The 14,463-nt window shown below is 35.4% G+C and overlaps 2 annotated features.

The window, feature by feature from the left end:
- Positions 9,149 to 9,649: an enhancer, noted in NCBI's record as "OCT4-NANOG-H3K4me1 hESC enhancer chr15:46972403-46972903 (GRCh37/hg19 assembly coordinates)". NCBI's record gives its function as "activates a minimal SCP1, AML or CMV promoter by ChIP-STARR-seq in naive H9 embryonic stem cells {active_cell/tissue: H9 hESC(naive)}" and the evidence as "EXISTENCE:reporter gene assay evidence [ECO:0000049][PMID:30033119]".
- Positions 9,650 to 10,150: an enhancer, noted in NCBI's record as "OCT4-NANOG-H3K4me1 hESC enhancer chr15:46971902-46972402 (GRCh37/hg19 assembly coordinates)". NCBI's record gives its function as "activates a minimal SCP1, AML or CMV promoter by ChIP-STARR-seq in naive H9 embryonic stem cells {active_cell/tissue: H9 hESC(naive)}" and the evidence as "EXISTENCE:reporter gene assay evidence [ECO:0000049][PMID:30033119]".

Below are 14,463 nucleotides of genomic sequence, written 5' to 3'. Positions count from 1 at the left end.
GCCGTTTGTCTTTGACTTCCTTCCCTTAGCATAATGTTTCAAAGTTCATTCATCCTGTAGCATGTACTAATATTTAATTCTTTTTATGGATGAATAATATTTATTTGTATGCATATATCCCATTTTGTTTATTCAACAGCCAATGAACATGTAAATTGTTTTCATGATTTTGGCTCTTATAAATAACGCTGCTGTAAACATCATGTGAACATATGTTTTCAATTTTCTTGGGTATAGAACTAGGAGTGGAATGCTGGGTCAGGTAACTGTTTAACTTTTTGAGGAACTGCCAAAGTTTTCCATAGCAATTGGACTATTTTATGCTCTCACCAGCAATATATGAGGGTGCCAATTTCTCCATAGTCTCACCAACACTTACTTATGTTTTTAAAAATTATTACTATAGCCATCCTCATGTTTATACAGTGATATCTTATTGTGATTCTGATTTGCATGCTCCTAATGACTAATGGTGTTAAATACATTTTCATGTGCTTATTGGCCATTTCTATATTTTTGGAGAAACATCTATTCAAATTCTCTTCCTGTTTTTAAGTTGTTTGTCTTTTTATTGTTAATTTTTAAGAGTATATTTCCTGGATACTAGACCCTTATCAGATATATGATTTTCAAATATTTTCTTCCATTCTGTGGTTTTATCTTTTTACTTTCCTCAAAGCGTCCTTTGACACACGAAAGTTTTTCATTGTGATAAAGTAAAATTTATTTTTTCTTTGGTTGCTTATGCTTTTGGTGTCATGTCTCAGAAACTATTCCCGAGAGTCAGAGATTTATATTTAAGTTTTCTTCTATGAGTTTTATAGATTTCCCTTTTGTATGTAGGATTTTTAAATCCATTTTGAGCTAATTTTTAAATGTCATTTAAGATAGGAATTCCAATTTTATTCCTTTGCATGGGAATATCCAGTTATCTCCACCCATTTGTTGAAAAAAATTCCTCTTTCTACTTTGAATGGTCTCGGCACCCTTGTTGAAATTCAGTTGACCATATGAGTTTATTTCTGGAGTCTTAATTCTGTTATGTTGATCTATACATCCATGACAACACTATGGTGTCGTGTATACTGAAGCTTTTAGTTTTGATATTAGAAGATGTGAGTCCTTCAACTTTGCTCTTTTCAATATTGTTTTGGTTATTCTGTTGCTTTTTTTTTTGAGTTTCCTAATACATTTTGTAATCAGCTTTTCAGTTTTTGCCACAAAAGCAATTAGAATTTTGATGTGGGATGCATATGTTTTGAAGATCAGTTTGAAGGACACAATAATGAGTAAAGTCCCCACTCAAATATGTCCATGTCTGAATCCCCAGAATCTATGAATATGTTACCTTTCATGGCAAAAGGGCCTTTCTAGCTGTGATAAAGTTAAAGATCTTAAGATTTTCCTGGATTACCTTTGTGAGACTAAATATAAGTGTCCTTATATGAGAGGGGAAAGAAGACTTTAGGAGAAATCAATGTGATGATGGAAGCAGAGACTGGAGTGATGGGACCACAGGCTGAGGCACACTGACATCCTCTATAAACTTAAAGAAGCAAGAAACGGAATTTTCCTTAAAGACTCTGGAAGAAACCATCACTGCCAACATGTGGATTTTATGCTGCATTTCTGGCCTCCAGGGCTATAAAATAATAAATTGGTGGTGTTTTAAAATACTAAAGTTGTGGCAATCTGTTAGTGCAACAATAAGAAAACTAATACAGAGTGTCACCATGATAACAATATTGTCTTCCAATCCACATGAATAGAATATTTTTATTTACTTTTTTAAATAACATTGAATAACTTTCAGTGTAGTGTACAAGTCTCACATTTCTTCTGTTACATTTATTCCTAAATATTGTATTCTCTTGTATGCTATTTTAAATGGGTATTTTCTCTTCATGTTCATATTGTTTACTGCTAGTATATAAAAATACATTATTTTCATTCAGTGTACTGATCTTGTTTACACAATAGAAATCTAACCTATCCTTTTGACTTTTGGCTGAAAAAGTTATTCCAAAAATGGTCTAAGTAAACCAGCACCCAGGGCTTCACTTTACACTTGAGGACTCATAGCGACATGAATTGGCTGCATACTTACAATTATTTTTTACACATGCAAAGAACTATAAGCTTATTTTGCATGTGACTTTGTCAAAAAGTTAAAATAATACTTAAGATCTGAATTTTAATATAATCTGGATGTAAACTGTCTATGCTACCCTTTACATAATGAAATAGTAATACTTCTATGTAGGTAAACAAAAAAGTATGCCCATTTGTTCCTTCTTTTGCTTTAGACTAACTTCTGTTCATTCATAGAAGCTCCATAATTTTGCCATACTCATTCAAATATTCCAAAGGATGCCATCTGGAGAGCAAAGAGAAGCTCAAACAATTAAGCAGGAGGGCCATGAGCATTGTCAGTCCCTGGAAAATCAAGTGCTGAAGTTATAAGCAGCCCTCAGAGAGCTGCTATTCCCCCTACAGCTGGCATTTGGAGAACATGGTCATCAACAGACAAGGTAGCTGATGCTGCAAAACTAGAATATTTTTACTCCAGGATAGACAGTTTGAAACCTTCAGACAAAAGAGAAAAAAATCAACTTTGCATACATTTTTTATTACAGCCATGGAAAGCTTTGCATTCCACACCTTGTCAGAGTTAACAGGTACAGAACTGTCCTTGAATCTAATTTTCATTCCAACAGAAATGTGAGAAGTGAAATCACTGCACAGAAAAAAAAAAAAAAAAAGAAAAAGAAAAAAAGCTTTCTTTACTGTGTGGCTTGCTGCTATAATGTCTGAGGGGAATTCAGAAAACCATACATTAAAAAACATTAGGTTGCATTAGGTTCAATGCAGACTGTTTCACCAGATAATGGCAAATATGAGCTCTAAATTGCCCATATTTAGAAAACTTACATTAGCAAATGTCCCATGAGACATAGATCTAACTTGTTTACTGACCCAGCCTGGTCTATTTGTTGATTATAAAAATATTCAACCTTCTAGAATTTTAGTGTTAAGAATTTCTAATATGTCCTTGAGATCGCACTAGGAAATCTATGAGAAAGTTGATCGCATAAACTTTTTGTGCAATTTTATCTTTCTTCATTCTCAGCTTACAGAAAAATGTACCAATAAAGACAAAATAGGGAAGGTAAAGTAAGCTAATTTTCTTAAAATTTCACCTTTATGGAAAAAAAAAGGCCTTTCTTTGGGATCATTTCCTTTTTTAAGAACTGAAAACATGGGAAGGGGGGACTGTGCTATTGAAAAAACTTTATTTCTTGACATAGGTGCTGCTTGCATTGAGGTTTACCTTGTAATAAATCTGAGCTGTTAAAAACAATGATAATCACATGATTAGATGGATGGATGGTTGATAAAGGGAAGGACAGGCAGATAGCTACATGATACAGCAAATTAAATAAAATGGTAATGATACAGTAGGTGGGTATCTGAATATTAAGTGTAAAATATTTTCAAGTTATCTATGTATTTAAAACTTTCCTAATAAAATATACACAAGCCATAAGCCTGGTTGAGTGGTCACGAGGACAAAACTGCTACTTAAGTTCCCAGCATATCTTATAGCTAAGTCCATATGGGATGTGGCCAGAAACAACATAGAACTGTCAGGAAGATCGAAAATTTGCCTCATACGTTCTGAAATCTCTTATATTTATTTGGCTGCTAGACTGAAACATCACAAGGTTTTTATTAAGATAGAAAATAAAAACAAATATAAATGGTGAATGCCATCTTATTGAAAGAGCTATTGCTAACCAAGTAACTTTAGCCCTCACAAATATTTTAGTTTTCAGGACTATGATAAAATAGAACTGTGAGATTAAATCCATATTCAAGGGAGAAAAGACTATTTTGTTTATCTGGACTTTCTGGCAAGGTTGTTTTATTGTATAACATTAGAGCAATGATGCCGCACCTTGCATTATTGCTCTGCACTTTGTATCCTTTATAAAGGGAATCTTGGAGTTAGGCAGTGAGTGCACAATATGAGGCAGCCTGCATTCTGCTTAAAATGCCTTTAACTGGGATTGTTTAAAATGGTGAAAAATATCTTAGTAGTAATGTAAAGATTTAATTCCATCTTAATACCTTCCCCCAGTCACTAATTATCCTCTCTGTCAAAGGTAATAACCTTCCTGATATTTTTGTTTATTATTTCCTTGCATTTCTTTATCATTTTAACATAAGTACACATTTTCAAACACTACATTTTTCTTAGGTTTTGTTTTGAGTGTTATATAAATAAAATTTTACCGTATTTTTTGTGGTAAAGGTCTTTTCATCAACATCATGTTGATGAGATTCATTCATGTTGTTACATGTGGCCATTTTTCACTTTTTTCATTGCTGCATAATATTTCGCTGTCTGATTATACTTTATCCTTTCTAATATTGACAGAAATTGGGTTACTTCTGTTTATGGATTGCTATTATGAAATTTGTAGCTAAGCACATTTGTTGTCCATATTTCTTTGGTGTACATGTAAAGACATGTCTTTTGGGTATACTTAAGATTAGAATTGCTGAGTCATAGGATGAGAATATTTTCAAATTTAATTGATAATGCTTAATAGTTTTCCAAAATTATCTTAATTTATGCTTCTACAAATAGTGTCTAAAATTCACACTTGTTCCATATTCTTACCAATATTTGACATTTTTATTTTAGTCATTCTCTTGGGTAGTAAATGATATCTCACAATTGTTTTAATTTTTATTTATGTGACTAATTAGGATATTAAGCAACCTTTGGCCCTTTGGATATCCCTTTTGTGGAATGCATGTTCAAGTGTTTTGCCATTTTTCTTTTGAGTTGCCTGTAGTTTTGTTTTTATTTTGTAGGACTTCTCTACATAATTGAAATAAGTTGCCTTTGTTAGTGATATGTGTGGAGAATGTCTTCTCCCATTTCATGCCTTTCCTTTTAACCATTTTGTGAAAATAAATTTTTATTTTATTTTTTATTGTTTGAATTTTAATATACCCTAATTTAAAATATTTATGTATCATTAGTTTTCTGTCAATGTTTAAGAAGTGACTCTATATTGTGAGATTATGTAAATATTCTTCTGTATCATTTTCTATAAATTTTGTTGGTTGTGTTTTACATTTAGTTCTAAAATTTATCTAAAATGAATTTAAAATTTTTCTAAATGAATATCTGATTGTCTCAGCAACATTTTCAAATAAGGCATCCTTTTCCCATGCTTCCACAGTGTTACAGCAAGGTTATTTTTCTGTGCTCTCCTATTCTACTCTATTGTATTCTAGTCTATTTATTTGTCTACCTAAAAACAAATCCCTTCCCAGGAGTTTGAAACCAGCCTGGGAAACATGGGGAAACTCCATCTCAACAGAAAATACAAAAATTAGCTTGGTGTAGTGGTGTGTACCTGCAGTACCAGCTACAAGGAAGGCTGAGGTGGGAGGATTGCTTGAGTCCAGGAGGCAGAGGTTGCAGTGAGCCGAGATCATGCCACATACTCTGGTCTGGGTGATGAAGTGATACCCTGTCTCAAAAACAAACAAAAGCCAAGTTCCTTACGTATTTAGTTATTATTGCTCTGTAAGTCTTGACATTCAGTAAAGGAAGACTTTTAACCGTGTTCTGTTCTCCAAGATTGTCTTTATTGTGTGTGACCCATTACACTGCCACACAAATTTTAAAACCATTTGCTAATTTCTACAACATTGAGATTGTATCAAATAGATACTAGTTTTGGAGACCCAGTGTCTTTGGTGTCTTTACAACTTTTATTTTTCCAATCAATGTTTTATAGTTTTCTGAGAGAAGTTTTATACTAAGTTCTATTTATTAGAACTATTATATAGGAGTATAATATCACAAGAGCACATAAAGCATCAGTGAACAGTTCAATGAAATTTCAAAAGTGAAAGTTCTCTTATAACCAGCACCAGATCAAGAAATAGCACATTACCCAAAATCCCTGCCCCTCTTCTGTCCCATTCTAATCTATTTTTGACCTTTAAATAATTTGAATCACCCAGTAAGAATTGTTTTGTAGATGATTTTGTTACTGGAGGTGAGTCCGTATGGGTCTGCAGGAACCTCAATTCTTGCCTCCTCAGAAGAAAGAATTCAACCGAGGGAGCATAAAGCAGGCTGAGATGACTGAAGCAAGTTTTACAGCAGGAGTGAAAGTTTATTAAAAGGTTTTAGGGCAGGAATGAGAGGAAGTAACATACACATGGAAGAGGGCCAAGCAGGTGACTTGAGAGCTCAAGTGTGCAGTTAGACCTTTTGACTTGGGGTTTTATATGTTGGCATGCTTCCGGGGTCTTGCATTACTTCTCTCCTGATTCTTTCCTTGGGGTGGGCTGTCACATGTTCAGTGTGTTTATTGGAGTTGTATGCGTGCTCCATTGAGGTGTTTACCTTACAATTCCAGTGTTCCTATATTACGATACACTAGTTAAACTCTGCCATTTTGCCTCTTAGTGTGCATGCTTGAGCCCATTTGCCCAGTTCCTGAGATCTTATCAGGAAGCTGCTGATCACCAGCTTTAGGTGTTTCTGTTTATTGAGAGACTGCTTTTCCCTGGCACTGGCTGTGGCCAATTATTATTTTAAAGAGAGAGTTCACCACCACCTGTCCATCACCTGATGGCTGCCTGACATTCCTGGTCCTGGGGTGTGTGGGTGTGTGTGTGTATATCTGTGTGTGTGTGTTGGTAGGGAGCCCTCTCCTGCCCTGTTCATGTCTGACTAGCTACTTACTGAAACAATTTCTTTCAGCCAATACTACATTTATAAAATTTACTCATAATTTTATGTATATTTTAAGTCTCATTGCTATATATATTACATCTTGTAAAAACATCATTTTTTAAGCATTTACTGTGGATGGGCATTTGAGAGATTTCCAGTTTGAGGCTATTGTGAATAGTGCTACTTTGAACATATGAGTTTTGTAGTCTATATATCTAAGAATGAAATTGTTGAGTCCAGAGTTTCCATGCATTACTCTTTTGGAATATGTTGCCAAGAAGTTTTCCAAAGGGGTCATACTAATATTTGATATTTTTGATGATGCCGTAAATGTAATATATTTGAAATGCTCCATTTCCACTTGTTTCTCATGTAGAGAAATGCAATTGATTCCTGATTTATACTTATATCTAGCAACTTTATTAAAGTAATTTATCAGTTTTAATAATTCAGTTATAGTCCCTTTTGGATTTTCTGCATACACAATTGTTACAGGACAGAGAAATATGTTACAGGAAAGGGGTCCCAATCCAGACCGCAAGAGAGGGTTCTTGGGTCTCACACAAGAAAGAATTCAGGGCTAGTTGGCAGTGCAAAGTGAAAGCAAGTTTGTTAAGAAAATAAAGGAATAAAATAATGGCTAATCTATAGACAGAGCAGCCCCGAGGGCTGCTGGTTGCCCATTTTTATGGTTATTTCTTGGTGATATGCTAAACAAGGGGTGGATTATTCATGCCTCCCCTTTTTAGACCATATAGGGTAACTTCCTGACGTTGCCATTGGATCTGTAAACTGTCATGGCACTGACAAGAGTATGGTAGTGAGGATGACAAGAGGTCACTCTTGTGGCTGTCCTGGTTTTGGTAGGATTTGGTTTTGGTAGGATTTAGCTGGCCTCTTTACTGCAACCTGTTTTATCAGCAACATCTTTATGACCTGTATCTTGTGCCTACCTCCTATCTCATCTTGTAACTTAGAATGCCTTAACTGTCTGGGAATGCAGCCCAGTAGATTTCAGCCTCATATTACTTGGCTCCTATTCAAGATGGAGTTGTTCTGGTTCACATGCCTCTACTACAATCATGCCACATATGAATAATGATAATTTTTTCCCTTCTTTCCTAATTCTGCTACTTTGGTCTGTATCTATTGTACGATGTATAATAGGGATAGTGACAATGCCTTTCTTGTTTCCTTCCCCATTTCAGGAGAAAAGCTTACAATGATATACCATAAAAATAGTTATTTTTCCATAAGTTTTGTAACACACCCTTTCTATTCCTAGTTTTCTGGAGGTTTTCACTGTGAATGGATGTTGAATATTATTGCATATGTCTCCATATTCATTAAAATAGTCATAGTATATATATATTTCTAATTGATTTTGATGTTAATCTAATCTTATATTTCTACAGTAATACAACTTACATTAGCAAATGTCCCAAGAGACATAACTATGTTACTATGAATTAATTACTTAGTTAATTAACTTAGTTACTATGAATTAATGTTTTGGTAATTGCTGGATTCAGTTTGATTTTTTAAAAGCGATTTTCATGTCCATGTCCTGTAGAGGTGAAGGGAAAGCCTCTCCTTCGCCCTTGGAAGGTTTGCTGAAAAATTAACTCTCAAAAGGCAGATTAATAGGAGAAAAGGAATACAAATTTATTTGGTCCCAGTTTTATGTGACACAGGAGCCTTTAGAATAAAGACCAAAAGCAACCCCTGCAATGAGGTACAAAACTTTATATATCATCTTTAAGTTACAGAAAGAATGCAGGCACAGAGCATGGCAGCAAACAGGTTGGGGGTGGTAAATGGGGTTTTGGCGGCAAGACAGGTTATGGGAAGGAGAGAGGAGGAGACTTGGTTAGCAAAGGTGGTCTTGTTGTGTACATGAAACCTCCCAGGGAGTAGCCATCAGAGAGAATAGATGGCAAATATTTCTCTTTAAACCTTTAAAGATGTCAGAATCTGCTAATGTTTCCTAGATTCAGACAAGGAAAGACCTGGCTGCATCAAGGCAGATTCTCTACAGATGCAAATCTCCTCTGCCCCTGAAAGACAGCTTTTCAGGGACACTTCTCTTTGCTGTCCCTCTGGCAGCCATCTCAAAATATGTCAAAGAAATATATTTGGGGGTAAATATTTTGATTTACTTCAGTCCAATAATGAGTTTAGCCTATAAATTTCCTTTCTTACATTATCCTCAAGAAGTTTTGACATGAAGATCATTCTGACCTCATAAAACAGAGTTATTGTAAGTTTGGCATTATTTCTACCTTAAATGATTGAAATAATTCCTTAGTGGAGCTAGCTGAAACAAGATTTTTCCTTATAGGAAGATTTTTCATCACAAATTTGATTTCTTTACTAGTTACAACATTATTTATTCATATTTTCTGTTTCTTTTTATTGCCAGTTTTGATAAGTTGAATTTTGATTTCAATTATTTGAAAATTATATTGGCATAAAGTTGTTTTCTGTCACTTTCTTTCTAATGCTATAACATTTATAATTTTCACTCGCGTCCGTGTGAAGAGACCACCAAACAGGCTTTGGGTGAGCAACATGGCTGTTTATTTCACCTGGGTGCAGGTGGGCTGAGTCCGAAAAGAGAGTGAGTGAAGGGAGATAAGGGTGGGGCCGTTTTATAGGGTTTGGGTAGATAAAGGAAAGTTACAGTCAAAGGGGAGTTGTTCTCTGGCGGGCAGAGTGGGGGTCGCAAGGTGCTCAGTGGGGGAGCTTTGGAGCCAGGATGAGCCAGGAGAAGGAATTTCACAAGACAATGTCATCAGTTAAGGCAGGAACAGGCCATTTTCACTTCTTTTGTGGTGGAATGTCATCAGTTAAGGCAGGAACTGGCTATCTGGATGTGTATGTGCAGCTCACAGGGGATATGATGGCTTAGCTTGGTCTCAGAGGCCTGACAGTAATGATATTTCCTTTTTAATTCTTGTTATTGATTATTGTGACATCTCTTTATAAAGGCATGTTTTCCCTCTCTTACATCTTCCATGATTTTAGTTAATTCTTCAATTTTTCTTGCCACTTCAGGAAGTCCTTATCTATGAAGAAGAGCAGAAAAGGGTAGAGGACAATAAAGCTACAAGCTCTCTCATTCTGATGGCCACTATTACAACCTAGCATGGCACTGATAATAGCCCAGATTTTCCTAGTTGGCACTATGAGTGTTTCATATTTTTTAAAAATTTAGCTAAATAAGCAGGAAATCACAAAGATAAAGAGACTGGTAGTAAATAATTATGAAAAAAAGGAAGATACGAAAAAACGACAACAAAGAACATGCATTCTGTTTCTCAAAGAACTAAAAATAGAATGACCATTAGATCCAGCAATCCCACAACTGGGTATCTACCCAAAGGAAAAGAAATCATTATATCAAAAACATCTACACTCATATGTTTATCACAATAGTATGTTATTCACAATAGCAAAGATATTGATTCAACCTAAGTGTACATTAATGGGTAATTGGATAAAGAAAATGTAGTTTATGCACACAATGGAATAGTGTTTAGCCATAAAAAAGAATTAAATCTTGTCTTTTGCAGCAACATTGTTGGAACTGGAGGCCATTACCTTAAGTGAAACAGCTCAGACACAGAAAGATAAATACTGCATGTTCTTATTTATAATTGGGAGCTAAATAATGTGTACACATGGACAGAGAGTGTGGAATGATAGACAGTGGAGACTGAAGGGGAAAAGGGAGGTGAATAATGAGAAATTACTTAATGGGTACGATGTACATTATTTTGGTGATGGATACACTAAAAGCCCTGACTTCATCACTATGCAAAATAACCATGTAGCAAAATTACACTCGTACCTCATAAATTTATACATATAAAATTAAAAAATTAAAAATAAACATTTTATGACTTATTTTTCATCTCCTTGGTCTCAATTAGATTAAAAGAAAATTTAATTTGAAAAGTGATATAATGCAAAAATCAATAAAGTAAATGCTGGTTTTAAAATGCTGCTTGCGGCCAGATGCAGTTTTCATGCCTATAATCCTAGCACTTTAGGAAGCACAGGCGAGTGGATCACTGGAGTCCAGGCGATTGAGACCATCCTAGCTAATGCGGTGAAACCCTGTCTCTACTAAAAATACAAAAAATTATACGGACATAGTGGCACGTGCCTGTAGTCCCAGCTACTCAGGAGGCTGAGGCAGGAGAATCACTTGAACCTGGGAGGCAGAGGTTGCAGTGAACCAAGATCACGCCACTGCACTCCAGACTAGGTGACAGAGCGAGACTCCGTCTCAAATAAATAAATAAATAAAAATAAAATAAAATGCTGCTTGCATGTATTTTGGAATGAGACAATTTTAATCTCATGGACATTAAAAACTTTTGGCCAATTGGTAATAAACTGTTGGAATTGTAAAGTACATTTTCTTTACACACATGTAAAATATACCGAATTCCATAGGAAAACAAAACTTTATTCCATATACTGTTTCAATTTGAAAATGATAGCAGGCATATTTCCCAGTGTTCCATTAACTACTCCAGATATTAGGACATGCCAGAAGCATAGTTATAGTAGTGATGACTTACTTGATACTCATAAACCAACTGTGCACCAGATATGGGGCAAGAGGCGTTAATACACCTGTAACATGTATTATTTGTTCAAGCTGTTCTTTTTCTTCTCTTCACCTTTCTACCAATCATCCTGTTTCCAGTCCCTAAGGTATTTTTCTCCGTGTCCATCACTTTGCCCTTCATATTACTGGCATTCTCTTCTCATCTTACCCACCTCTTTCTCTCTCTTTCTTTCTCTGTCTTCTTTCTCTCTTTTATTAAAGATTGTTTTTATTCTCTTCTCCTGAATCTCTATTTTCTTTCCATTTCCCTTTTCTTCTTCTCTTACTTCCTTTAATGGTGATAACTTAAAACTAAATTATATTTCAGTTTTATATTTTATCTCGTAAAGCTAAAATATGTTTTAGTTTTATTGTATGCAATAATTATAGGATTCAATTATAATTTCCTGCAATCATTTTAAGACACGTAGTTTTTATTTTGTCTGTAAACAAAATACTATGGTGTCAACTTTTACAGATGTGTATGCCATTTTTCTTCTTTCTTCCTGGTAGCCAGTGACTCCTGAAAGAGCAAAGTTTCCCACTCCTTTCTGTAGGCTTATCTATTGTTCCATAGAAGAGCGAGAAGGAAACACTAGGCATCATTTTAATATCCTTTATCGCAATCATTCTATTATTCCCAGAACATAGCTTTTGCCTCGTCTAAAATTTCAGGGTTGACCAGTTTCTTTTCTGAAGTCATGTTGGGAGAAATTCTTAATTAGATACCCCAGGGGAAGCGTGTGAGAGTCTGGTGACCAGTTGAACTCCCAGCGAGCTGAGTCACACCTTCACCTCCCAGGAACACAAACATTTTCAAGTTCTACCTACTTCCCAAAACACTGTGTTTTCTGTTTCTTGTTTAATAGTAGTGAGGACCTCTGCACCAAGTGAGCCCTTAAGAAGTTTGAATTGCACATACTTTCAACTGTCAAAAACATATCCACCCAGTGACTCGGCAAAGTAGCCCACCAAGGGATCCTTTCCTTTTAGAGTAGGGAGATGACAATGCTTTCTAATTTACAATCGGGTAAGCTCCAAAATGAAATTTTAAGCACTTGGCCCCCTGGATGCTTTTGGTCTATTTGTGTGGGGAGGAGTATTTTATGCAGTCTTTCAAATCATACCACTCTTTGTTAATACAAACCAACTCTGCTCACGGTGTGTGGGTGGCAGTTAAGATCATAAAGGAGAAGGGAACAAAAAGATGAGAAAAATGTACTGTACTGCATTGCAAATTGAACCCTGACTTCATTCTAGGCATGGGAGTTAGAAAGATTGCCTTCAAGAAACTAAAATGCTGAAAGGAGACTTGAAAAGAAAATTATGAAATATGGCCAACCTGTCTTAAACCCCCAGCCCTGGTCCATCTTTTCTTCTTGCCACAGCGTGTGTCACCTTCTGTATACTTTCCCTCTTTATTATGTTTATCATTGGAGTTGTACCTCCCCTACAAGAACATGTGCTCTATAAAGGCAGGGATATTGGCTGTTTTCATTAACAGTGTCTCCACAGACCTTGAAAGAGTTCCTTGCATACAGCAGGTATTAAATATGATGTACATGAGTGAATTCAGTTTACCTCTGAGGCCTGCAATATATACTATGGTGCCTCGTCAAGATCCCTTTGTCCCAGCCAGTACGCTGTACACTAACTGCTGTAGATCTTGGCTACCGAAAGGTGCTTTCAGCAATGTCTCACTGGGTTTTGGCTTCAGTCGCATTGAATTGCATTGTACAAGGTTATGTAAACTCTAAGGTTGTGGCCTGGTCTGATGACTGTGTAATACACGGTTACAATAGCTAGTCCTCTTGCCTTAACTTGGGAGAAGTCTGAAAGGGCATTCCGGCTTCAGAATTTGTTAGGATAGGATGAGGCCTTGCTTGCAACTGCATTGAGAATCAGCTTCTCCTGCCTTACTTTAACGGATGTGGCTTCCCAGAGCAAGCAACTCATTGTCTGAGTCTGTTTCCAGGGAATCCAGTCTACATAAAGATAGGTGTACAAATATTGACTAGTTTTTCCTTACCATGTCAGAGATGGCTTCAGTGTGTAATAATAATTGGGTAAATAAGGGCAGAAACAGCACTCAGGGTAATGACACAATCTACACAAAGGCAGAGAAACAGAAAAACATTGTACGTTCATCATGACTTCAGTTTTTTTTCCATTCTCCTGATGAACAAAGGGAAAGTGAGAGGTTTTAAGCAGGGATATATCATTTTAATTCTATAGGTAGAAAACTAAAGAAAAAAACTGGAATATAAATTATCCAGGCAAAAGAATATGTTTTATTATTCTTCATAATCCTTCCCCACTTAAGCCATTGCCATCTCCCACTCCCAGCACCTTGGGGATATAGGTAAATATTACAGACTCATCCATGTTATTTAATTCAATTAATGTAATTTAATTCAATAAATGAAACATTGTCCTGAGGTAGAAGAGTACTGACTACATTCATTAATAGTATATTTTCAACTAATAGAGTAACAATTTCAAATTTAATAACAAAAATAGAACAGGACCCACAAAAATACCAGAAGGAAAAATATACTATACTCACAAATTCTACAAAATGATCTTTTGTTGTTGTTGTTGTTATAAATTTTAACTGTCTGTCTCACCGCTTGTATTTCCATATCTGATAAAAAAGCCTCAACTCTACTTTGTGTCTTTCCTTCCTTTACCAAGGCAACGTCTGAGCATATGAGTGATCCATAGAAATGATTTACAGGAAGTCTGATAGGCTGGAAAAACATGGAAACTTAACATAAGCACAGCGCCCAGTGTGGCGAACTATAAACATTTCTTGAATTCTCTCTAAGAAACTTTGAAAAACATTGTACCTTGCTTGCTTATATTATTAGGATTATATTCTACTAAAGATTATATTTATAGATATTTAATCTGTAATTTAGCATCATAATTTTACATTATTGCAAGCAATTGTAATTTCTACCATGCTGTGAATCTTGACATTTAAAAAAAATTGTCACATCATTCTCCTAAATGTTTCCAAAGGTCTGTAAATACCATAGTGCTTTGATAGTCACCACCTACATTTAAG

This window comes from Homo sapiens, chromosome 15 (assembly GCF_000001405.40).
Source record: "Homo sapiens chromosome 15, GRCh38.p14 Primary Assembly".
Lineage (NCBI taxonomy): Eukaryota > Metazoa > Chordata > Mammalia > Primates > Hominidae > Homo > Homo sapiens.
The sequence above is the reverse complement of the archived record's forward strand: the minus strand, read 5'-3'. Positions and strand labels throughout refer to the sequence as shown.